We start from the raw sequence: 22,378 nt of genomic DNA on the forward strand, positions 1-22,378 counted from the left end.
TACTTAACATAAAACCGGTTATTTGCTGATCTTGCCAAACCCAAAAAGTAGTACTGCACTCAAAAGAAAGAATAAAAGATCACTTATTAGTGTTTCTTAGCATCTCTCGACAAGTAGGGCTCAGGCATCTCTAGATATCAATCATGTCTCTGTTCATTTTCTGCCTTTTTTTTTTTTTTGGTAATTTCCTGCCTTTGGCTGTTATTCAGGGTTCTCTTGCAAAATGAACAAAAGACAGGTGGTACCACGAGTAGCACATTTTGTGTATGACTTTTTTTTTTTTTTTAAGAAATTCAGGTGTAGAGAGGTGAAGGGCTGCTGGTGTGATTTTCTCAGAGTACGTGTCTAGCAAGTATCTATGTAGACGAATCATCACGTGCTTATCACCCACTCAACCCTAAGCATCATATAAAATAGAGGTGCATTTTTAAATATATGTACCAAACTTTAATTTTCATTTCACACTCAAAACTCCTGTAGAAAAAAAGGCAAAGCAGGCAAAAAAAATTACAATGACTTCAGCAAACAACATATGAAAACTGCAAAACAGCCTTGGGTCTGTAATGGCCTTTATAGACGTAGTGAGAAAACTGGGTTCCAAGGTTTTGAACTCTTTAAGACAAAATTCCAATGTTTATTACTAACATTTAAAAAATATTTGTAGCTGCATAGGATACAAGATTGAATGAGAAGTCTCTGAATTCTACTGCACAATTGGATCCTAAGATTGGGAGGCTTAATTTTTCTTTGGGGAAAACATGAAATTATTTTTACTTAAATGTGATGATGCATCAGTAACCTCAGTTTACCATTAAGGTCTTAATTTAATGGTGATAACTAGGAGCAAATGTTGATCAAGCATGATGTTAACTAGTAGTTAAAAGGTAATATCCAAACTTTCTTTCTGGTTGTTAATACTCCACCCCTAATGTGAAGACATCCATTTCCAGTTGTTTTTTTTTTTTGTTATTGTTTTTTTTTTTCTACTACTAATTCCTAGTGGTGCACAACGAGTTTCTGAGAACACAGTAATAACGCCAAAGTAGCAGTGCATCTGAGAAACATAATTTTTACCTCGTTGCTTTCCCAAAAATAAATATCTCAGTCATGGAAAACACTGTTTATTTGAAAACAATGAGACCTCAAATATGAAATATAGTTAACAATGACATTGACACTGTTGCTAGCACTTTCCCCTAAACCACCCGTAAGTCTTGGACGCATGTGCATGCAGCACACACACACACACACAAAAACCAAAAACAAAGCCAAAAAAAAAAAAATCCCAAACACAACAATCCATGATTGTTCAATGACTCCTGATGCCGGGAGGACAGGCTGTTAAAAGAATTTGTCTCCCACAATATCTCTGGAGTGGGCACAAAGCCCATCACCTGTTAGTGATCACAGACATTCAGTTAACCTGTCCTTCCAGTAATCAGAGACAACAATTCAGACCCTGGACTTCTCAGAATCCATGTACTGCTGAGTCTTGGCTTTGAGACAAGACAAGTCTTGGCTAAATTGAGGCAGGACAGCAGCCCCTTCCATATGTTTGGTCCCATTTGATAGAAAGTCTAATTTAGAGTTATAAATGTGCTCATCTATTTACTCTGAGCTCAATCTAATTTGACAGGTAATTCCTCACATTTTCTCCATTAGCCAGCTGAGAGTCAGCTGTGGTAGAGACACACGACATGGGTTCAAGCCCCTCATGAGCCCTGTGGTGGCTGGCAAGTCCTTTCCTTTCTTTAAGCCTTAATCTCCTCACTTGATAGAGGGGGAGAAATTGACCCAATGATGATAAATATTGTGTGGTTCTATATTTCTAGCCTAGACAATTGTTGCTCAAGTGTAACATGTGACTGCCAAATAGGATATCTCTTAAGATGAATATCTCCTAACTTTCCTCACCTGGTATGATCACATATTCTGGCTTCCTCTAAGGTTTAGAATCTGTAGGTTCAAAAAGGTCTTGAAGACCACCTAGCATATTTCTATTCTGATGAGAGAAACTCCATCCAAGCAGCTGTACTTTTTCAACTTGAAAATCTCCAAGGAAAAGAGCCTTTTCCTTCTGTTGACTAATGTTTAGATGCAGACCAGGGAATCTTTCCTGTCACTTGGCTGAACTCCCTTGCTAAAACAACATAAGACAAGTATTTTTTCCCCTTTATTGGAGGATCCAAGGGAAGATCAGCTGGTCACTAAAGTCCAGAAAGCAATGGAGTCTTATAGCTCATTCCTGGGATGTTGCAAATAATGCCAAACTCTGATGTACTCAGACTCAACTTCTAGGATTATCATTCACTAAATGCCTGGGTGACTCCTTCTAGTGGAAACAGGCAAGTAACAATATAGACCAGACTGAGGATTTACTTAGAAGGGTTGAATCCCATCCCATAGTATGTATTCACAGCCACATGGTATAAAAGGAAGAGCATGGAGTCAAGAGTGAAGCATCCTGGGTTCTAGGCCCACATGGGAGCCATCCTGTATGACCACATCCTCTGGGTTTCATTTTTCCTTAGGAGGTCAGAATCAGAGATTTTCATGATTCCATTCGAACTAAGCTCTGATGTACAGAGAGAATGACTGCAGGCTTCATAATATTGTTCATCAACAAGACAAGGTGGGGCAAATGCTTGCTGGATACTACGTACTAAGGAAGAAGGGCGGAGTCAGTCATTTTATCGGCATTAACCTTACAGGGCTCTTGAAGATTGTTTTAATTGCCCATTTTAGAGACAAGGAGGTTAAGACTCAGAAAGCTTAAACACATTTCTCAAGATCACATTATGAATCATTAGTAAGGCCAGGAGTAAATTCAGGTGCACCAGGGCTTTTATATTGCAACAAGCTAGCAACGGGGTTGGGGAAGAGCTACTTTTTAAAAACCTGGGAAATAGAAAACATGGATTTTTTTTCCCTCTAAATTCCCCTAGTTTTCTGGTAACTAATGCAGTATCCTAGACCTTTGTTCTCATATGAATGGTCTTCAGAGAACAGGGCTCTTATGAGGGGTGGCTGTGCACCCAGAACTCTGCAGGTAACTGGAAGGTTGCTAAACTCACAAATAACTTCAAAGCCAGAGCTCCATTTCCCTAATCCCTGTAGGCAGAGGGCTGAAGCAGAGAGATGGCTGTCCTGTTGCCTGAGTGCACCTCTGAGGACCTGTCTCCCAGTTCCAAGACAGCCACCTTCATCAGTCCAGTGGCAACAGCACATCTATCTATTTCTGCTGCTCTCCCACTAACTGAAAAAAATACAGGAGATTTTTTTTTCATGTGAAATTAAAGGAGAACATTAGAGGGATATAAATCCAAACAGAAAAGGAGTATGCTGATTAATAAAACACGTGCAAACAGAAAAGTTGCACGTGTGGACTGCAGTCTGAGGACAGAGAGGGGGTGTGCTGAATTCGAAACACTTGGGTTTAATTCTCCACATGCATTTTTCTTGGATTCCTCTCTTCCTCTGTCAAGATAACAGTTGTGTTTCTTGTAGCTGAGCCGACACAGGAAATCAAATATTTTGTGTTTCTATAAACTATACTTCCCAGAGAGATAACACATCTAGAATTAAAATACTACCACAAACAATTAGGAATTTTTTATCGTTATAGATGTTGTTAAAGGACTCCAGTAGCAAAGATCAAAGTCTCCGAATTTTGCCTTTGGAGAAGGGGGTTTCATTTCAGACATCAAAGGTAAGGCTCTCAAGTCAATTTATGCTCTGCTGGGTTGAGTCAGTCAGGATACAAATTAAGGTCCATATATTTCAGTGACAAGAAGGAAACGGTTATGTAAATACACAAGTATTAACATCAATCTGTATTAAATTATGTAAACATATACATCTTCTGAGGTCAGCACATAGATCCTCTTCTTTGAGCAGAGCTCTACTGAAGCATTGCTCGAATCTGTTTGGAAGTTGATTCATCGTTCAAGTGCTTTGTAGTGAACCTGGATGGAGAGAGAATGGTAGAGGTTAGCGGCAAACAGTGCTCTGTGTAAGCTTCAGCCCATCTTTACCTTCGGAAACACAATTGATATTTGGGCTTATTTCTTTAGACAAAAATCCACACTTCAATGCTCACAGTCATCTCAGATTTAATATTTGATTCTTCCTTCCAAAGGAATTTTGTATTATGGTTATTAAACCAAGTAGATATTTTACATAATCAAATAATTACACAGAGGAGATATGAGCGGTCTCATTTTCTAGGGAGGTGGATTTCACAGGATTGAGTGCAGAATCCTGACCACTGAGGCTGCCCCTGCTAACTCACAAATTTCAGAATAGAGATTTGCATAGCAACATTGCCCAGAACTGGAATGTTTATGGTTCTCCACTTTCCTGGCAATGCTTAATTAACCTCATTGCCACCACAAGGGGGCACAAATGCTGGTAAGCAAACCCACAAAAATGGTGCAATCTGCAGCCTCCCAATAGCCGGGTGTAGAAATCATTTATGCAAAAGAAGGAAAAGAGAATTAACATGTAATAAAACTTTGGCCAGGTCATGGGCGCTCCATGTTAAGTTTCGTGTTACAATAACTTTGTAAAGGTGAGGTCATTGCCTTCATTTTATAGAAAAGAAAACTAAGATTCAGAGAGGTTAAATGATCTATTCCAGATCACAAGGTTACTGAATTGAGATTTGTGATTTCTGATTCAAACCTATATTTTGCTATCTGGAAAGCCTGTGCTCCTCTGACATCATCACAGTGCCTCCAGGAGGTACAAATTCTAACAAATCAGATGGGACTCAGGGCCTAGCACAGAGTTTTGCTTGATTGAATGATGCTGGAAAGCTCAACACACTCAGAAGTTAAAGCCTTATTCATGTGTATAGAAAGTCATCCTGGGTGTGAAATGGACACCAGGAGAAAACCTTAGTTTTTCCCACAGACTCTGGAAGGCTCTTACATTAATACTAAGTCTCTTCTAAAGGATGATGACTTAGCAACACAGCAAAACAGCATCAACCTCAGGGTCTATTTTGTTCATTTTGTGTGTGTCTCAGTTTCTTCATTTATTAAGTGGGGGTAACAGATCACCCTTACCTCTCTGACTTGTGATGATTAAATGAGACAATATGATTAGAAGTGGAGTATAAAACATGAGCATTGTACATAGGTAGAGCATTATTGATCCATCCCACTTAGACTTATTGAACACTTACTGCATGTACAACACTGAGTGGAACTCAGGGGACTCAAAGATGAATAAGACAACAGGGACCATAAACCTTCTGGACTGCAATCTAGTATCAGAATGATTTACATAGCAGTGTGATTCAACCAATTCTTGTAGATGTGTCAGAGCTAAAAAAAGCATCCCCTCTCTGAAATGGATTAAGCACATGCATCCCTGGGAAGAAAGCAGCTGCCTAGGCATCACTTGTTAGCAGTGAGAAGCTGAAACATGCCACAGCTGGCCAAATATTTAGGCATCTAGACAGTGGGTTCTCAATTCTGGTAGCTGCACATGTGAACCACCTGGGGAGCTTTAGAATAAACAAAGAAACACAAAATGGATACCTGAGACCCTAGCCCAGAGATTCCGATTCATTTGGTCTTGAGTCACATGCAGTCAGAATCACACAGAGTGTTTTCAAAAGGTACCCACATAATCCTCAAGTGCAGCCAGGTTTGGGAACCACTGGTAAAGTGGAAAGTGAGAGCCTGGAAGCCTCTTGTTCTGAGGAGTCTCTTTAAGCCCCAAAGCAGTGTGGCTGAGAATCAGGTCCATGACCCGTGGGGTCACCCACACCTGGGTTCAGGTCCTAGCTTGGCCATTTACTGTGTGACTTTTGGCAAGTTATTTGACTTCCTTAAATCTCATTTTTTTTCCATCTTTAAAAATGGGAATGATAAAAATGGTGCTGACCTCAAAAGATTGTTAGGAAGATTCAATGTGTTAAAATATGCAAGGGTTAAGTTTGGTGCTATCCACAACAGTATTTAAATTTGCAATGGCCCTGAAAGGCTGGCTGTTCCCTGTGAGCTGACACAGGGTTGAAGCTCACCTGAGGGCATTTAGCAGCCCCTCCACACTGTCTGGGGCCTGCTCCTTCAAAACTTTTATGCAGCCTTTCATCTAGGAGGAGAAAGCACAATGTTTGTTAATATCTTAGTAATACTGTCTATGCCAATATCTACCCATAATAACATGTGCCCATAATGTCACATTATATCTTCCCATAGAAATCCAACGCAGAAATGACCAACAGGTTTTCCTACCCCCTCAGGCTGGTGAGCTGTTCCTCTGGGCTTCTAGAGGATTCTGTATGACTGCAATCATTATCAATTTTCATACTATTTGCAATTGTACATTTCACTTGCCTGGCTTTAGGGACAAAGACTTGAGACTTTGATCTTGCCTTGTACTATGGAGCCAAATGCAGGGCCTTCCATCCACTCAGTGCTCAGTTTCCATGTCTATGTCTATGTTGGACATGTCTATGTCCAAGTCTATGTCTCAGTTGAGATTTACTGAATAAAATCTGAATAATTTTATGCCATTCTTCTGCCCTGAATGTTTTCTGTCCTTCACCTGTTTGACTGGCAAACCCTTAACACTTATTTTAGACCCAGCTGAAGATCATTACCTCCTGGAATCCTATTCTGACCTCACTACCTTCATTAGGTAGAAGCAACCAACACCTTTCTGTGCTCCCAATACGACTCTGTCATTTATCAGAGAAACTTGGAGAATTTAGTGCCCATATTAACTTCTTTCTTCACTAGACCAGGAGCTCCTGGAGGTCCAAGTCTATGTCTCAGCCATCTTTGAGAGGACTGATGAAGGGCCACTGTTCAGAATGTGAACTTCACAGATGCTAAATGCCTGAGTTTCCTTCATGCTTGTTTCTTTAGTATCTTCACAAACCTAGGCAAGTGTCTTAGCTTTTTGTGTCTGTATAATATAGTTGACCCGTAATTTGGGAAGTGCATGGAAACTGAATTTATATAGATCACATTACATTATGCATATCCTGGAGTGTTTTTTGGCAAAGCAAGAATCTTTCTGCAAAGCTATTCATATGCTGTTATATATTGGATTTGGTTATACTTAGGGCCCCTTTTGTAACAGCCCTTAGAAACATTTTCTGTCATTGTGCTTCTTGCATGTCAAAAGTTTTATCTTACGGCCTGATAGACCCTGATAGACTGATGGAGGCTGCCAGAAAACAGGGTTGGGAATCATGTGAGGATCACTACAGGTGCATCAAAAAAGAATGTCATGGCAAACGAGAGGTGTCTGTCATGCATACCGGATTGGGAGAAGCTACAAGCATGCCAGGTATATGCCACCCCAGACCTGGGATGGCATCAGGCCCAGGGATGCAGAGATTCTGTCCCTCTCCCATAGTTGATTATCACAGTGTGGAAGTGTTCTTATGAACCAGGCCTAAGAAGCAGTGACAATGCAGATGTGGAAGGGGTGGAAGAGCAGGGAATGCTGTTTGGGAATCCGGAGTTCCACTTAGGGTGATTTAAGCTGTAGGTATGAATAACAAGATGCTGTCAAGGATGCAGTTGGGGCCAGATGCAGTGTGAATTCGACAGCATGTTCAGGAGCTGGGGGCTTTACCTGTGGAAAACATCCTTGATAGGTGTTAAATAATCTAGTGATGTGGTTAATATGGAAAAGGACCAGAAGGAAGCAAGAACAGAGAGAGAAGGGGCAGTGAGAGCCCCTGAGGGTGTGAGGTGTGGGAGCAGCAGTGGGCATGGAGGAGCAAGTAGAGACAGGGACTAATCTGAGGTCAACTCCATAGGATTTGGTGACTGATGAGATATGGGGTGAAGAAGCCATTCCTCATTCTCAGGGACAATTTTAGCCTCTGGCTTAGACACTGGTTGGAGGACGATGAAATACCTGAGACGGGAACCCAGGAGAAGGAACAGGTTTGTGGGGGGAGGGGAATCTCTGTTTTGGGGATGGCCATATTTCAGGTGTCCATGGGAAATGGGGTCTGGAATTCTGGATAAAATCTGAGATGGAGACAGGGGTTAAGAGGTGATTACTTATTGGGTCATTTCAAAAGATTCTAAGGAAATCAATTGAAAACACCATCTCCCCAAACCCTCCTTTCCTGGCATTCACAATTAGCATTTCTTTAATAAATGGCTTGTGCCGCCTTGGTAGCCACTTGGATGATTCCCCCTGCCTGGAGGACTCTGCTTTCCCTCTGTCCTTTTGGGATAATCCTACATCTTCTTCAAGGTCCACCTCAAACATCACCCTCTGTCTCTGCTCTTCGGCAAAACGAGTTTCTCCCTCCCCCTAGGTTTCCAGAGCTCACTGCATGTCTATTCTGCACTCCAAAGCATGCCCTTTGTAAGTACACACACAGTGCCTGCCTCTCTCAGGCCCTCACGAAGAGATCCTGGGGTTTTCACAGTTGATGCTGATGCCCTAATGATTTACGAGCCCAGTGACTATAACTGCTGGCTTAGAAACAGACTAGTATCTGAATGGAGACCCTATATGTCGTAAAAAAAAAATGGCCCATCTCAAATGGTTTACCGTGCTTATTAAGCCTGAAACTTTCTTAGAGGTACACGCAAACATCCATATGAACAAACCTTACGTAGTGCTTTTGACCTCCACGGACAAAAGCAAACTTCATCAAGACTATGCGTGAAGACTTAACATGATATACTGTTTACAGCCTCAACTGAAAGACTCAGTAAATAACATATAAAGCCAAGCTTTTTAAAGATTAGGGCTACAAGGCATAATTTTACCCAGTGTATTTTTAATTGTTGACTCTGTGACAAGTTAACAAATGGCTATGGTAATGAGAATATCTTATGAGTCTCAGGTAATGAACTCAACCCATAGTCAAATAATATTTACAGAGTTATTTATACTCAATCTATAGTATGAAAATGTTAAAGCCTCACAAAGGATACAGTAAAAATATTTATTGGTATAAAAATGCCCATGATACACTTTTATGTAAATGAAATATGTTTCAAAATAGCACGTAAAGCAGGGTACTAATTTGTTAAGGACATCCACACACATGTCCACACAAGCATCTATACTAAAAGAAGGTACACATGCATGCTGCTGTATGAACGGTGATCCTCTGCCTATGGTGAGGTTATTACAGGATATATTTAATTTACTATGTCTTGATTTTCTAAGTGTCAAAATTTTTTTCACATAAATATTTATTTTCTTGGTACATAGAAATAATTACATTAAAAATAATAAAGAGTCTATGAAGAAACATGACTAACTATACTACGAACTCAGAACCTTAAAATAAGTAATCCAAGTTACATTTTTTATTGATACATTATCTTGCATTCTTCAGACCTATGGCCCTCCTGGGCATGTAGACTTTCTCTTGCATAGGGCCAGAGCATCAGGACACTGTTCTCTGCAGATGAGTGAACACAGTGTGTCACCCAGACTCGGCTATACTGGAGTAAGTAAGTTACTACCAAGAGATGCTATTCTGCACTTTAAAGGCTTTAAATGAGTACATGGAATACACTATTGGGTTGGTGCTAGAGGCAAGTGCTGGATGAAGAGGAGGTGTGCTTTATGCCACAATCAACAGCAAAGCAACTGTGCACCAAAATCATGTGTTTTCAATTATCTTCATTCATTCATTCATTCATCCATCAAAACACCTACAGCGTGTCTGTTGAGTTCCACCCACTATGTGCCAGGTACTGTGTGAGGCAATAGAGCAGACATGAGGTATATAGATTATGGTCCCTGTCCTTGTCAAGAAATTGTCTGTGAGGGAGTCAGAAAATACAGAACGGTGAGTGCTCTGGCGACCAGAGAAGCAAGAAGGCTTGTCCTATGCAGAAAATGTGTTCTTAGATGAGGCGATGTTTGAAACATGTCTGAAAGGAACCCACCCATCAGAGAGGAAGAGGAAGGGCTCTCTCGGCAAGAGAAAGGACTCACACATATCACGTATATCCAAATGATGAGGAAAGGCATGGGACATGAGTGGAGCAACAGGTAGTGGTGGGAGAGGAAGTGAAAGGTAATTTGGGATTTGACCATAGTGTCTTGTAATGTAGTATCTCCCAACTCTTCACAATAGGACACACATAGAATAGAAACCATCTATTTGTACAGCACACTGGGTAAATGAAGGGACTGCATGCAACTAAGTGACTGTTCATTTGCTCAGCTCCATTAGAGACTGAGGGGATCAGCATCATAACATTGCTGCTGTGCTTTTGAGGTTGAGTGTTTTTTCCTAAGCACAAGAAAAAGCCTGGACATCTTGCTGTGAGGACAGCTGCCAGGATGGGCTGTGCATCTTAGAAAGATCACTCTCAGTGGAGAGGTCCTGAGGTGCCTGAGGAAGAAAAACAAGGTCTGGCAACATTCATGGGCCCTTATTTGGAAAGCACATTTCACAACTATTCTTACATCGATCTTGGATGTCTTGCAGAAAGCTCCCACAGGGTGGACATGGTCATAGAGGATGATGACTCCCACCATCACCCTCATGCAGAACATCAGGGTCTCTTCACTCGTAAACCTACTTCTGTACTCCCTGCAAGAGAAGAAACAGCAGTGGCGTCACTTCCTTGTCAGAACATGTGCGTTCTTTGGCCCCACAACTGGATACTTTAGATGCCTCCAATCCTCTCTTGGGAACAATCCCAGACCTGCAACAACCAGTTAATATGCTTCTGAGGAAATCCATGATGATAATTCTCCTTGAATCTATTCAACCAGCAATTCAGTGTGAAAATGAAGTAAATTAAAGGGCAGTAAATTCCCTTCTCATCTGCCCTTCAGCGGGCTAGCTCATCATGTACCTCACTCCTCCACCTATCAATCTTGAATATTTTATAGCAGGTCCCTCTGGCTGTCCAAGATTATAGAGAGTAATGGCTTCATTACAGAGAAAAAGAATTAGGCTCATTTCTACGGAGCAGCTATCATGTCTCCAGTCGGAGTAACTTCCTTTGTTAAAACACAGGCTGCAGATTGTATTGGATTGGCAAAAATACCTTAAAAAACTATGTATCATTCATTGAGCATCCAAGAGTATTTGTAGAGTTTGAATTTTGTTCACTTACCTTGACAGGGTCACTGATGATTCAGATAATTCAGGCCAATTCTAGAGGCTTTTTTCCTAGAGGCTTTCTTAGCATCTATTTCATTATGAATTGGCTCTGCAATGAAGATGATTACTATTTCTGCCTTGGAATAAATCTTAACTTTGGTACAAGTGAAATATTTGAAATTAATGCCATCTTACATTTGAACAGGCTATCAGATTTTATAAGGTACTCTTGATGGCTTTGGTCTTCCTAAAGACTCTGCAAAGTAGATGGCCTTATGGGAACTTCATTAGATGAGGAACCCGAGGCTCAGGAAGTCAGGCCAGTTATTTACAGGCATAGTAGGGGCTACAGCCATAAATGGAACTCAGAATTTTGAGCACAGATTACCATGCTGCTTCATCCTCAATATTCTCAATCATTTTTAAATCTAACAAGTAGCAACTAGTTTAGGTACAAAAAGAGACAGAGAGAGAGAGAAAGAGAGAGACCTCCATTTTCACTCTTGAAACAGTCTTATCATGTCAACTCCTGGTTTTATATCTTCTCTACAATATATTTATCATGATGTCCCATCATTTAACACACCCTCCATTTGGTTCTTACAGATCTTCTACAGCATCTGTGATCTGAGCCTTGGTTCTGCCACCTGACAAGCTATGCAGTTGTTGGGAAGTCAGTCAACCACTTTGGGCCTCAGCTTCTTCAGCTATGCAGTAGTGATAGTGACACCTACCACTCAGAGTTCTTAGTGAAATTAAAGCAGATAATATACATGAAAACTTTAGGGTGTTGACCCAAATGTTACATATCATTAACATCATCATCTTAACAGACACTGGCTGGGTGAAGTCTCAACCACGAATACATCTCTGATTTAACTTACGGAGTTTCCAGCATGACTTTACAGACACTTGTCATTGTGCTGAGGCAGTCTGTGGTGTTCTCTATTGGCAGAGTTTTGTTCTAAATGGGAGACACAAATGTACATTAGTCCTGCTTGCAGCTCTTGTGTGGAATTAAGGAAAAAAGCACCTCGTTGCTCAACTTCACTTACTTCAGAGACAAAGTGCATTGTGGCATTGCTAAGGGTTTTCAGCATTGGCGTGGCTTCTGCATAGAAGAGGGACATTCGATTGGCCATCTCATTATTGACTTCATTCTCAATGTCTAGCTGATGAAAATAAGAAGAGAAGATGGATTTATAAAGAGAAAGTCCAAATCCTCCAAATACTTTTCTCTGGAACTGAATTACAGACAAGGACATTGTCTTCTGTCTGTGCTCTGCCTGATGCAGAAATCAAAAGAGTCATGGAGAAGGGTGCAAAGGTCAAGGCGACCCAGGGACTCACGTGCATGTTGTTGATGCGGTTGCGACTGATTGTTCTTCTGTAGTAGCTGAAGTCATTCTGAATAGCCGGGTTCCTCATCTGAAATTCAGAGGACAAGAGCGAAGGTCATCTCTCAGTATCAGATGGGGTATATGCATTAGGAGGAGCCCAGACACTAGATTTTATAAATACTCCAGGACTTCTCTTTGTTACATAAGAGTCAAAGCAACTTCTGGTTAGAAATAAGGACCCACAACTTCATTATTTTAAAATATGCCCTGTGGGCTAGATTTCAGGGAAAGTATATTTGGTCTCAATGTGGAACAGATACTTGAAAAGGTTTTCTCTGATTTCATTTGGCAGATTTAAAATTTCCATATACAAATCATCATCTTAAATTACTTTTACCACATGGAATGCAAATTCTCACCACATTATATGTCTCTCTAGGGAAGGAATTACATCTTACTCATTTCTCTACCCACCCACCCCACAGCACTAACAGAACAGCTGTAAACAGTAGGTACTCAGTACAAGTTTATTAAATTTTCACAGCACATTTGGCCTAACCTTCAGCTCATCGAATCGAAGGGTAAAATGTAAAATTTCGGCAAACTCCTTTGCCAGGGCCTGTTCCCTTTCCAGGTGTTGGGTTGGTGTGTAGGGTGGACAAGTCAGAGATTCCAATAAACTCTGAAGAGCTTTTTCTGAAAATCAAAGGGATAAATAGATATGTTGGAGGTGGCCCACAGAGGTCCTTCAAAGAACACAATTCCCAGCCTCAGTTGACAATCTCGGAGATCACCTGCTTGAGTCTCTCCCGATAACTACGTGAGGTGTGCTGCATGTGGACGAGGAAGAGAAGGAATCCCACATGGCTGGGCAGGCAGCCTCCCCTGAGGAAACCCCCCATGGCCACAGTGTTTTGTAAATTTCTTTCTAAGCTCAGCTGGACCTGGACATATTTAGTAATCTCAATTTCTGACACTGTTAGAAAACCACAGATATGTGTTTTTGGGTCATGTGCATGAGACAGCCATTCATGATTCAGGATGAGATGAGACGGTGCCCTAAACACATGGGTTAGATGACCGGCTTTGCAGGGAAAGACCTCTGCCCCTATTGGACTTTTCTCTGCATCTACATTCTAACCTAATCCCAAGAATATTTTTCTATGAACCCATTGCCCTATCTACCTCCATTATTTTTCTTGCAACAGTTTCACCACTCCCACTTGTCTGTTTCTCTAAACAGTCCCTTATAGCTTGTTCTTCAATATATTTCTAATAGCACAGAGTCATTTAACCAATCCTCTAAAGCAGGGATTGGCAAGGTATGACCCATCAGCCAAATCCGGTCCATTACTTGTGTTTTGTAAATAAACACAAGTTTTATTAAAACACAGACGTGCTCATTCTGTTATGTAATGACTAGGGCTGCCTTTACATGAGAGTGGCAGAGGCGAGTAGTTGCAAAAAAGACAGGACGGCCCACAACTCTAAAATATTTATGATTTGGCCCTTTACAGAAAAGTTTGCAGACATCTGCTCTATGTAGTTCTTACATAACTTTTATAGCATTTCTACCGGGATATCTCTGGCCTTTTTGAGATATTTCCATCTGTAAGAACACACTCTCTTTTGAGGCAGCCAGTTCTACCTTGGCCTGCTCTCGTAAGGAATTGTTTTCCTTCTGTTGAGCAAAAATTTGGCTCCTCAGAATTTCCATTCACTGGGTCAACCCTTTGAGGAAACATAGAAAGAAGTCTATGTTCTCTTTTACTCTCTTCTATCTGAGAGTCATCAGAAACCCTCTCTTCTTGGAAAACGGGTTTGGTTCATTCAAGTACTTCCCTTCGTCTCAGCTTCTAGTCCTCTTAACATCACGGTCATTACTCCCCCAAGGTATTTCAAGTTCTCTGTTTTCCTCTTAATCTGTGGCACTCATTTTATGGCAAAAGTAGAGTAGAACATGCCTTCTTCATTCAAGATATACTGTATTAACCAATGAAGCATCCTCCCTGGGGAGTGATTTTGTCATATTGCTGGTCACATTGATCCTATTTCCAACCAGATTTGGCATTACTCAACATCTACAAAGCCATCCTGTACTTGCACAGTTTTTTAAAGCTTAAGGAAATAATGTTACATTGTTTTTCTTGCATTTTACTCTATTAAATTTATCATATGACTCCAGACAAGCAAGTTATTTGTTGGGTGAGCAGGTAACCTGTTATCTTTTAACTTCTCTGTTATTCAGAAATGTGATCAGCCCACAGTAAAACTATTAAGAATTGGACACAGATGAGAACAGGACCAAGAAGATACTCACTAGTAGAGACACACTAAATGGGCCAATAACTTCAGGGGAAGAACTTTGTGGTGGATTGAAAGAAATGAAAATGACAAGAGTTGTTGCTCATAAATGGCCTCTCATTTGATACAGTGGATGGATGTGGGACATTTTCCAATATGCCACGCTGTTCCCACTACCTACTCAAACATCAAAACAGAACTCCGTATGTGGGCCATGAAAACTACAAATACATACTCACCTAGTCTAATGGAAAACTCGTAAAATCTCTTTAGCCTCACAACAAGAGGGCACACCGCATTCCAAGCTTTTTCTTGAAGCTGAATGTCATTGGGATTTTGAATTGCCTGCAAAAACACAGTAGAGCTGACTGTTTAAAAAGAAGTGGTAAGCTCCACATCAAAATGCCCTAAGATTTAGTTTAAAATACAATCCTTGCTATACTTTGCTGATGTATACTACTTAAATCAACACCGGTTCATCGGATGGTCCTCCAACATGCTCAATATGAATGGAAATTTTAACACTTGAACATACAGCAAATGGCTCTACAATTACATCCTGTGTCATCTTACTTGTTTCTATTATCTTGAATACAAAAAATTCACATCTAAATTGGAAGAAACTCAGCCCTCTCCATCACCATTAGACTCCTCTAAAGTGGAATTCTGCTCATTATAAAGTGCAAATTCTGTAGACATTTTGTTTATCTTTAATAGGTATTGCATTCCTGCCAGTTTGTCATGTTACCTAAATTGTATAAATTAAATGGTGACCCCTAAGTAGAAAAACCACCTCTTACTAGACTGTTACTTTTTTAGAAACTCCGCCTTGTCTGAGTTTCAGCAACTTGAGGATTATGACGGTGGTGGTGTTCTTTTCAGAAGGATGGGAGCAGTGGCAGTACTGTGTGCATGTGTGCGTATGTGTGTGTGTGTATGTGTGTATTGGCATGCGTATATGTATGTGTTGGTATTGCCACAAAACTAATGCTTTCACATAAAAAGAGTGTGAAGTTTCTTGCTTTTAAGGTATTGCGAAGTTGCAAAAGTCAAAGTGGTGATTTTCTTTTTTGTTTTTGTTGTTGTTTTGTTTTCTGTTAATTTTAGAAAATCTCATAAGACATTTGAGATGACAAACTGAAAGCAAGATGGTTTTGGCTGTTGTGTATCACACTGGTGGAACCTGCCTGAGTAATTACCAAATGCCAGAAAGTACATGTCCACCCAGACTTCATGGTTCATATTTCAACTGTTGTTCACAGACTTTACATTGTTTCCCTTAAATGAAATAACATATTGATACATTATTGTTTAAATGTGAGTCCTGCAATATCACTTGTGTGTTTGAGAAGAGAATGGGTAATATTAATCTATAGCACTGTGTGCTCAGATTAATGCACTAGAATAAAAGGGGCGATTCATGCTCTTTTTTTTTTTTTTTTTGAGACAGAGTTTCACTCTTGTTGCCCAGGCTGGAGTGCAATGGTGCGATGTGCAACCTCAGCTCACTGAAACCTCTGCTTCCCAGGTTCAAGTGATTCTCCTGCTTCAGCCTCCCAAAGTAGCAGGGATTAAAGGCACCTGCCACCATGCCCAGCTAATTTTTTTGTATTTTTAGTTGAGTCTGGGTTTCACCATGTTGGCCAGCCTGGTCTTGAACTCCTGACCTCAGGTGATCCACCTGCCTCAGCCTCCCAAAGTACTGGGATTATAGGCGTGAGCCACCGCAGCCGGCCCATGCATTTTGTTTTTAAGGACACATTACCCTCCTTGTTCTTCCTGGTACTCTAGGAAATACTGTAGCTATTACTTAATCTTGCTGTGTGTGTCTGTGTGCATGTGTGGTTTTCCTTCCCCTCCTCGGGTGTTGTCAGTTCAGCGTGATCATTGACATACATCTCGGATCTCTGGGCCTGCGCCTTTGTAAGCCTGCAGGTCTGCAAGGATGCTCTCAGAATCCTGAAGGACGGCGCTGATCTGGTTCCAGATTTCTCTCTCTCCTTCTGTAGGCTGAGCATCTAAGAAACAGGGAAACCGAGAGACAGAGTGCTGGTGTTTACAAATAGCTTGGGAGGAGGATGGATATTCAGTTTTACCTGCTTGACAATCCTATCATATTCCTGCTGCTCTGGTATTTACTCTTTAACCTAATAAGCTGCTAGGATGCTAGGAAGGGAAAACTGATGAAACTTCTGCCCATTACTCAGTTTAAAATAGTCAATGATCTTTTTATAGTCATAAAACAAGCACACAGGAGTCATCATAGGCACTTATTTATGTGGAACAATTTTTTTGCACACCTGCTACGTAAAACAGGGCACTGAGTGATAGAAAAAATAAGCATTGTCTTTTTGAGTCCACATGTTTTGGTCTTTTTATTATTTTATTACTTTTTCAATTACTATTTTTATTGTGGTTAAATACACATAACATAAAGTTCACCATCTTAGCCACTTTTAAGTGTACTGTTCATTGATATTAAACACATTCATAATGTTGTACAACCATCGCCACACTCCATCTCCATGACTCCTTTCATCTTGTAAAACTGAAATTCTGTATTGGGTCTGCTTTTTAAAGGAGAAGCAACTGAATATTTCTGCTTTGATTGAAAATCTGTGAATCTGAGTGTAGATGGGAAAAACAGTCTGCCTTGTATTTCTATATTTAAAAATATGCTTAAAAACTGGATAACTAAAATCCTTCAAACCACGACAGAGGCATATCATTCCTGAACACATGGGTATGTAGAGAGCACTTCTCATTGAACCTGATCTCATGTTCAGGAGGTTTGGCAAAGACGTGCAGGGAGTTCATGTTAAAGACAAATGTTCTGTTTATCTTTGGTCTTGACCATAACTGTTACCCACAAAAACAAGTGACACACTGAAGCTTCCATAATGAAAACAGTATTCTAACAGTCACAGAAGCACCCTTGAGCTCTTCAGTGAATTCTCACTTGATTACCTTCCCGGAGCTAGCATGTATTCTTGTTCCCGTGAGCATTTCATGGGAGCTGGTGGGTGGTGGTGGAGAGGTAGTAAAGATTGGGTTTTATTTATCTTGCAATTCCTATGCAATAGGTTATCTCCCTGGCCTAGTAGGGAAGTTCATCTCTCCATCTAAAACAAAGGCACTGCTCATGGAGAGGGGACAGATGTTATCTTATCAAACTCTGTTTTCAAATATCCAGATCCTGAGGCACAGCATGCTTGCAGCAGACCTCACTAACAGAGGGTGAAGGCCGAGTTTACACCTGGTCTAACCCTCACCAGATCAAATCTCAGTTTTAACTAATCTTCGTGGGAGTACAAGGGGCTGATCCTGCAAGAGGGTTGTTTACCAGTGTTTCTCTGGGGATAAAAAAAAGACAGGGCTGGGTGCAGTGGCTCACACTTGTAATCCCAGCATTTTGGGAGGCTGAGCCAGGCAGATCACTAGGTCAGGAGATCGAGGCCAACCTGGCCAACATGGTGAAACCCCGTCTCTACTAAAAATACAAAAATTAGCTGGGCATGGTGGTGCATGCCTGTAGTCTCAGCTACTTGGGAGGCTGAGGCAGGAGAATTGCTTGAATCCTGGAGGCAGAGGTTGCAATGAACTGAGATCATGTCACTGCACTCCAGCCTGGCAACAGGGTGAGACACCATCTCAAAAAACAACAACAACAACAACAATGAAACAAAACAAAAAAACAAAAGACAGAATTCACAAGATAAGTGACGGCGAAGTGGGGCACTGGCTATGCTGACTTGGTGTTCAGAAATGCTGAGATCGGTGAGGAACTGAGGCGGGGTGGCTGCTCCTGCTTCAGTTACCTAAACTCTCCATGACCGGAGCCCATGGAGATTTTTAGACTAGGTGACTCACCAGGTCCTGCTGCCTAAGACCTGAGAAACTGGTAGAGTTTCCTAAGAAATGAAGAGTGAAAATCATCAGTGCCATGGCAATTCTCTTTGAAGAAAAGATCATAGGTCCTCATAGGTTATCCAGAAACTTTGCAAACTATACATTCAAAGAATGAGACCATTTCAACTAGGAAGTAAGGAGGTACTGGAATGTCTGTACACAAGGACTCAGAGAAAGAGAAGATGAATGTGGTCTGGAAAGAGTGGAAACAGTTACATGTAAGGGATATAACTTGAGCTGGGGCAATGGAAGGTGAAATGGAGTATATTCATGAAGAGAGCACAGCTTGGACAAAGGCTTGGCAGCTGGAGAAAGCAAGGCTGGGGAAACAAACAAACAAACAAACCTGCTAGGTTAGAAAACAATCTACTGGAGACAGTAAGGGAAAAAGACATTTATTACAGGTTGAGCTTCCCATATCCAAAAATCTGAAATGCTCCAACATCTGAAATGTTTTTAAATGCCCACATGGTGCAACAAAGAAAATTCTCACTGGAGTATTTTGCATTTCAGCTTATTGGATTTGGGATGCTCAGCTGGTAAGTATAATGCAACTATTTCAAAATCAGAAAAAAAAAAAAAAAAAAAAAACCCAAATCTGAAACACTTCTGGTCCTAAGCGTTTTTGGATAAGGGGTATTCAACCTGAACTTTTTCAGGTTTTATGGCCTATCAGTGTTTCCCAAAAACATTTGGTAAGTTTTCTCAGATATGATGTTACTCACAATATTAATCACTTTGTATTTTACCTTTTTCTGCTTTCTCAAACTTTTCTCAAAGTGATGCAAGTGTCTTAAACACAAACCTAAAAATCCACAAGCTAGGAGGCCCGTAACTGGAGAAAGTGTTCTGGTAGAATAGAATTCCAGGGTAAGCCTGGCAGTTTCTGAGTAAGGAAAGTGTCAGGGAAGAAAACATAAGAAAAAATGCAAAGCAACGAGCCTAGAAAACAAATAAAAATAAAACACTGACTATTCAAATCCTGTCTCCTTTTGAAAAATCATAAGCTAAACAAAGACAGTTTCCTAGAGATGTATGTATTTGGAGAAGAAGAAAAGCAAGATAGTCAGTGACCAAGATTCTCAGGGCTAAGACTATTTGAGTATATTTATAAAATAGTATGGGAAAGAAGAAGGCACTCTGAGGCCAGAACAGAAAGCCTTCTAATCTCAGCGGTCACCTGGCTCCACCCTAGCAAATCACCGCTTGATAAGTTTTAGACAAAACAGAATTAAAACTAAGTGGGCCAGAGAGGAGAGCTGGAAATTTTTTTTAAAAAAATCCTGTTGATGATTACTTAAACAGAAAAAAAGAAAGATTTCAAGTCAGTCTTTAAAAATAGAGGCCTCTCTTAACTGTTTCAAAAATAAGACTGTTTCTGATAGGGTGGCCTGAAAAAGGTACTGGCACTAGAGACAAACAAGCTGCGCTCTCCATCCCAGGTGAAGGGACCTTTCAACAAATCAGCACTGACATTTATATGACCACAGAGTTGCATGAGTAACCAGGGGGCTGGTACCACTTCTCTCCCAGAGGAGGCGGACTTCAGGGGCTGTGGTAAACAAATACCTTCCATCCTACAGTAATTCTCTCCTGGCAGCTGGGGTGATCTATAAGACAGGACCCTCAGTCCTCAGCCTCCCTAAGAAACTGTTTCTTTTGGCAGATTTCCTGGTGTCCTATTAGAAATATTTCTCATGTGGTTTAGCAGTGGTGGGATGCGGTAGGAGAAAGCCACTCCATCATTTCCATCTTTCCTCCAGGCTTAGAAATATGTTGCCTCATTTTCATCCAAAATTTTGTTGGTTTTATTGGATGTCCAATTTCTTCCTTCTTTCCTGTCATGAAACTGAAGTCACCTCTTCCAGCTATAATTAGACGGGCAGCACAGTTCCTGCCTTCTGGGCCAGAGTGCCATAAGATTCTCAGGGGACTCAAATCACAAGTGGTGTCAGCTTTCAAGGAAGAGAGTGACAACTGGGAGAAGCTCTAGTCTGTCTGTCTGTCTCTCTTTTCAAATGGGAAAAGAACTGTGTGACCCACAGTGACATGTGACATTGGCCTAAATCCCTATGGAAGTCCATGATTCATTCTATTTTCATCCCCCAGCTAAATAATCATACAGTCAGAACTAATTAATGAAAATCTTATCCATTAGACTGTAGGACTCTGGTCATATCTGTTTCACTTGACATTATATTTCTAGGATCTGGCACAGGGCCTGGCACATAGTAGATGCTCAAGAAAAATTTGCTGAACAAACAGTTGAACAATTTAAATATACTACTCACACTGTTTTGTGATTTTTCTTCTGCTTGTCTTTGAATTCTGAGATCTTTTGAGAAGGCCATTGGAGACAGGCAATAAAAGTGTGATGAATCAATGAATACACGAAGAAATTGGTAAGATGGGATAGAATGCTGGGTACTTGAAAGCAGTGTAGTAAGTAAAGGTCCTATTACGTTTAGATCCTCTCCTCTGTCTCTACTCCCAAAATGACTTTATTTTATTTTTTTAAATGACAAGGTCTGGCTCTGTCACCCAGGCTGGAGTGCAGTGGTATCATCATAGCTCACTGCACTCAAATGGCTTTTGTATAGTTATATCTCTCCTGGTTACCATTAAGATGTAGGTATTTACCTACAGTCAAATTGGCCATCCACTCTTTCATTAACATCCATGTTCTCAAATCATCCATTATTGATCTACGGCCTGAATGTCTCACCAGTGTGGTTAACACACTAATAGGGTATTTGTTGAGTCTGACACAGTGAAAAACTGCACTTAGGTTTACGTTTCTAATCTGAAAGCTGTTATCATTTTGCCATCTGGAAAATCCCTTTGAGAGGCTTTGGAGTCTTACACTTGGCCTTCTCGATATTCAGATTCAAGTGGTGAACATGTTTTTGAAATTTATTGTGTTTTCAGATGTCGTGGAAAGACATCTTGAAAGGAACCCTGAAGAATTAGTGATTGAAAAGGTTACTAAATTTAAGCTATCAGCAACCCCTTAAAGCATCTGCTGAGTGAAGAGGAGCTGTGAACTGTGTGCTTGGCTTTTCTATTTTTAACACAAAGACTGAACTTTAGTCAAAGAAAGGTACAAACAGTCCCCACCACACACACACCAACAATGTTACTGGTGAAAATGGGTCCTTATTTCTAGTTGCAGCCAGTGTTTTCTTTGGTAATGTTCCTTCTAAGAACCATATTCTAAGCTTCTAACCATTGCCAATTATTTCACGGAAATTGAGGAGAATGGTTACATAAAGCTGGAGTTACTCCTGTCTAACAATAAAGCTATTAAAAATCTCTGTGATTTACATGGGCAGTTTCAGAAACCAATACTTCCAGGAGCCCTGGAACAAGTGTATCCAGGACATTATGTGGGGGGATGATTTAAAGTCCTGTTCTGGACTTGCTACTGTGGAAAGTTTGAAAATGTATCAAGTGCCCTGCGACCTTGCACACATATACATTTGTTGTCAAGAACTCACTAAATTCAAAGTGTCTAGAATTTGCAATAGCATAAGTACCTTATACATTAAGATAGTTAAACAGGATTAGTTTTGTTTGCAGGGGCTCAATTTGTTAATGCTGGTGAATATTAACTGTGAATACTTTGCTGTCACCTGAGGCAGGGTGGAAGATTTCATTGTGGAGAAGAGTGATATTTATTTAAACCAATGCACGGCACTCCTTGATGCTAATGGAGAAGAAGGTGGCTATGTGCTTTGTTTTTGGGGAAGGTCTT

General features: G+C 40.6%; 1 protein-coding gene across 10 annotated transcripts in view; it reads right to left on the bottom strand.

Annotated features, from left to right (window-relative positions):
* Nucleotides 1-424: 424 nt before the first annotated feature.
* Nucleotides 425-22,378, bottom strand: part of CYRIA (CYFIP related Rac1 interactor A) — a 116,376-nt gene continuing 94,422 nt past the window's right edge. For all 10 annotated transcript variants that reach the window (XM_024453163.2, XM_047445942.1, NM_030797.4 and 7 more), the window contains 9 exons: nt 16,612-16,733; nt 14,955-15,060; nt 12,971-13,107; nt 12,422-12,499; nt 12,127-12,243; nt 11,956-12,035; nt 10,426-10,552; nt 6,035-6,105; nt 425-3,965 (listed from right to left, as the gene is read on the bottom strand). In XM_024453163.2, the coding sequence (XP_024308931.1) occupies nt 3,902-3,965; nt 6,035-6,105; nt 10,426-10,552; nt 11,956-12,035; nt 12,127-12,243; nt 12,422-12,499; nt 12,971-13,107; nt 14,955-15,060; nt 16,612-16,733 (902 nt within the window). In that variant the 3' untranslated portion in view covers nt 425-3,901. The remainder of the gene's footprint in view (nt 3,966-6,034; nt 6,106-10,425; nt 10,553-11,955; nt 12,036-12,126; nt 12,244-12,421; nt 12,500-12,970; nt 13,108-14,954; nt 15,061-16,611; nt 16,734-22,378) is intronic.

This window comes from Homo sapiens, chromosome 2, assembly GCF_000001405.40.
Source record: "Homo sapiens chromosome 2, GRCh38.p14 Primary Assembly".
In the NCBI taxonomy this organism is placed as follows: Eukaryota; Metazoa; Chordata; class Mammalia; order Primates; family Hominidae; genus Homo; species Homo sapiens.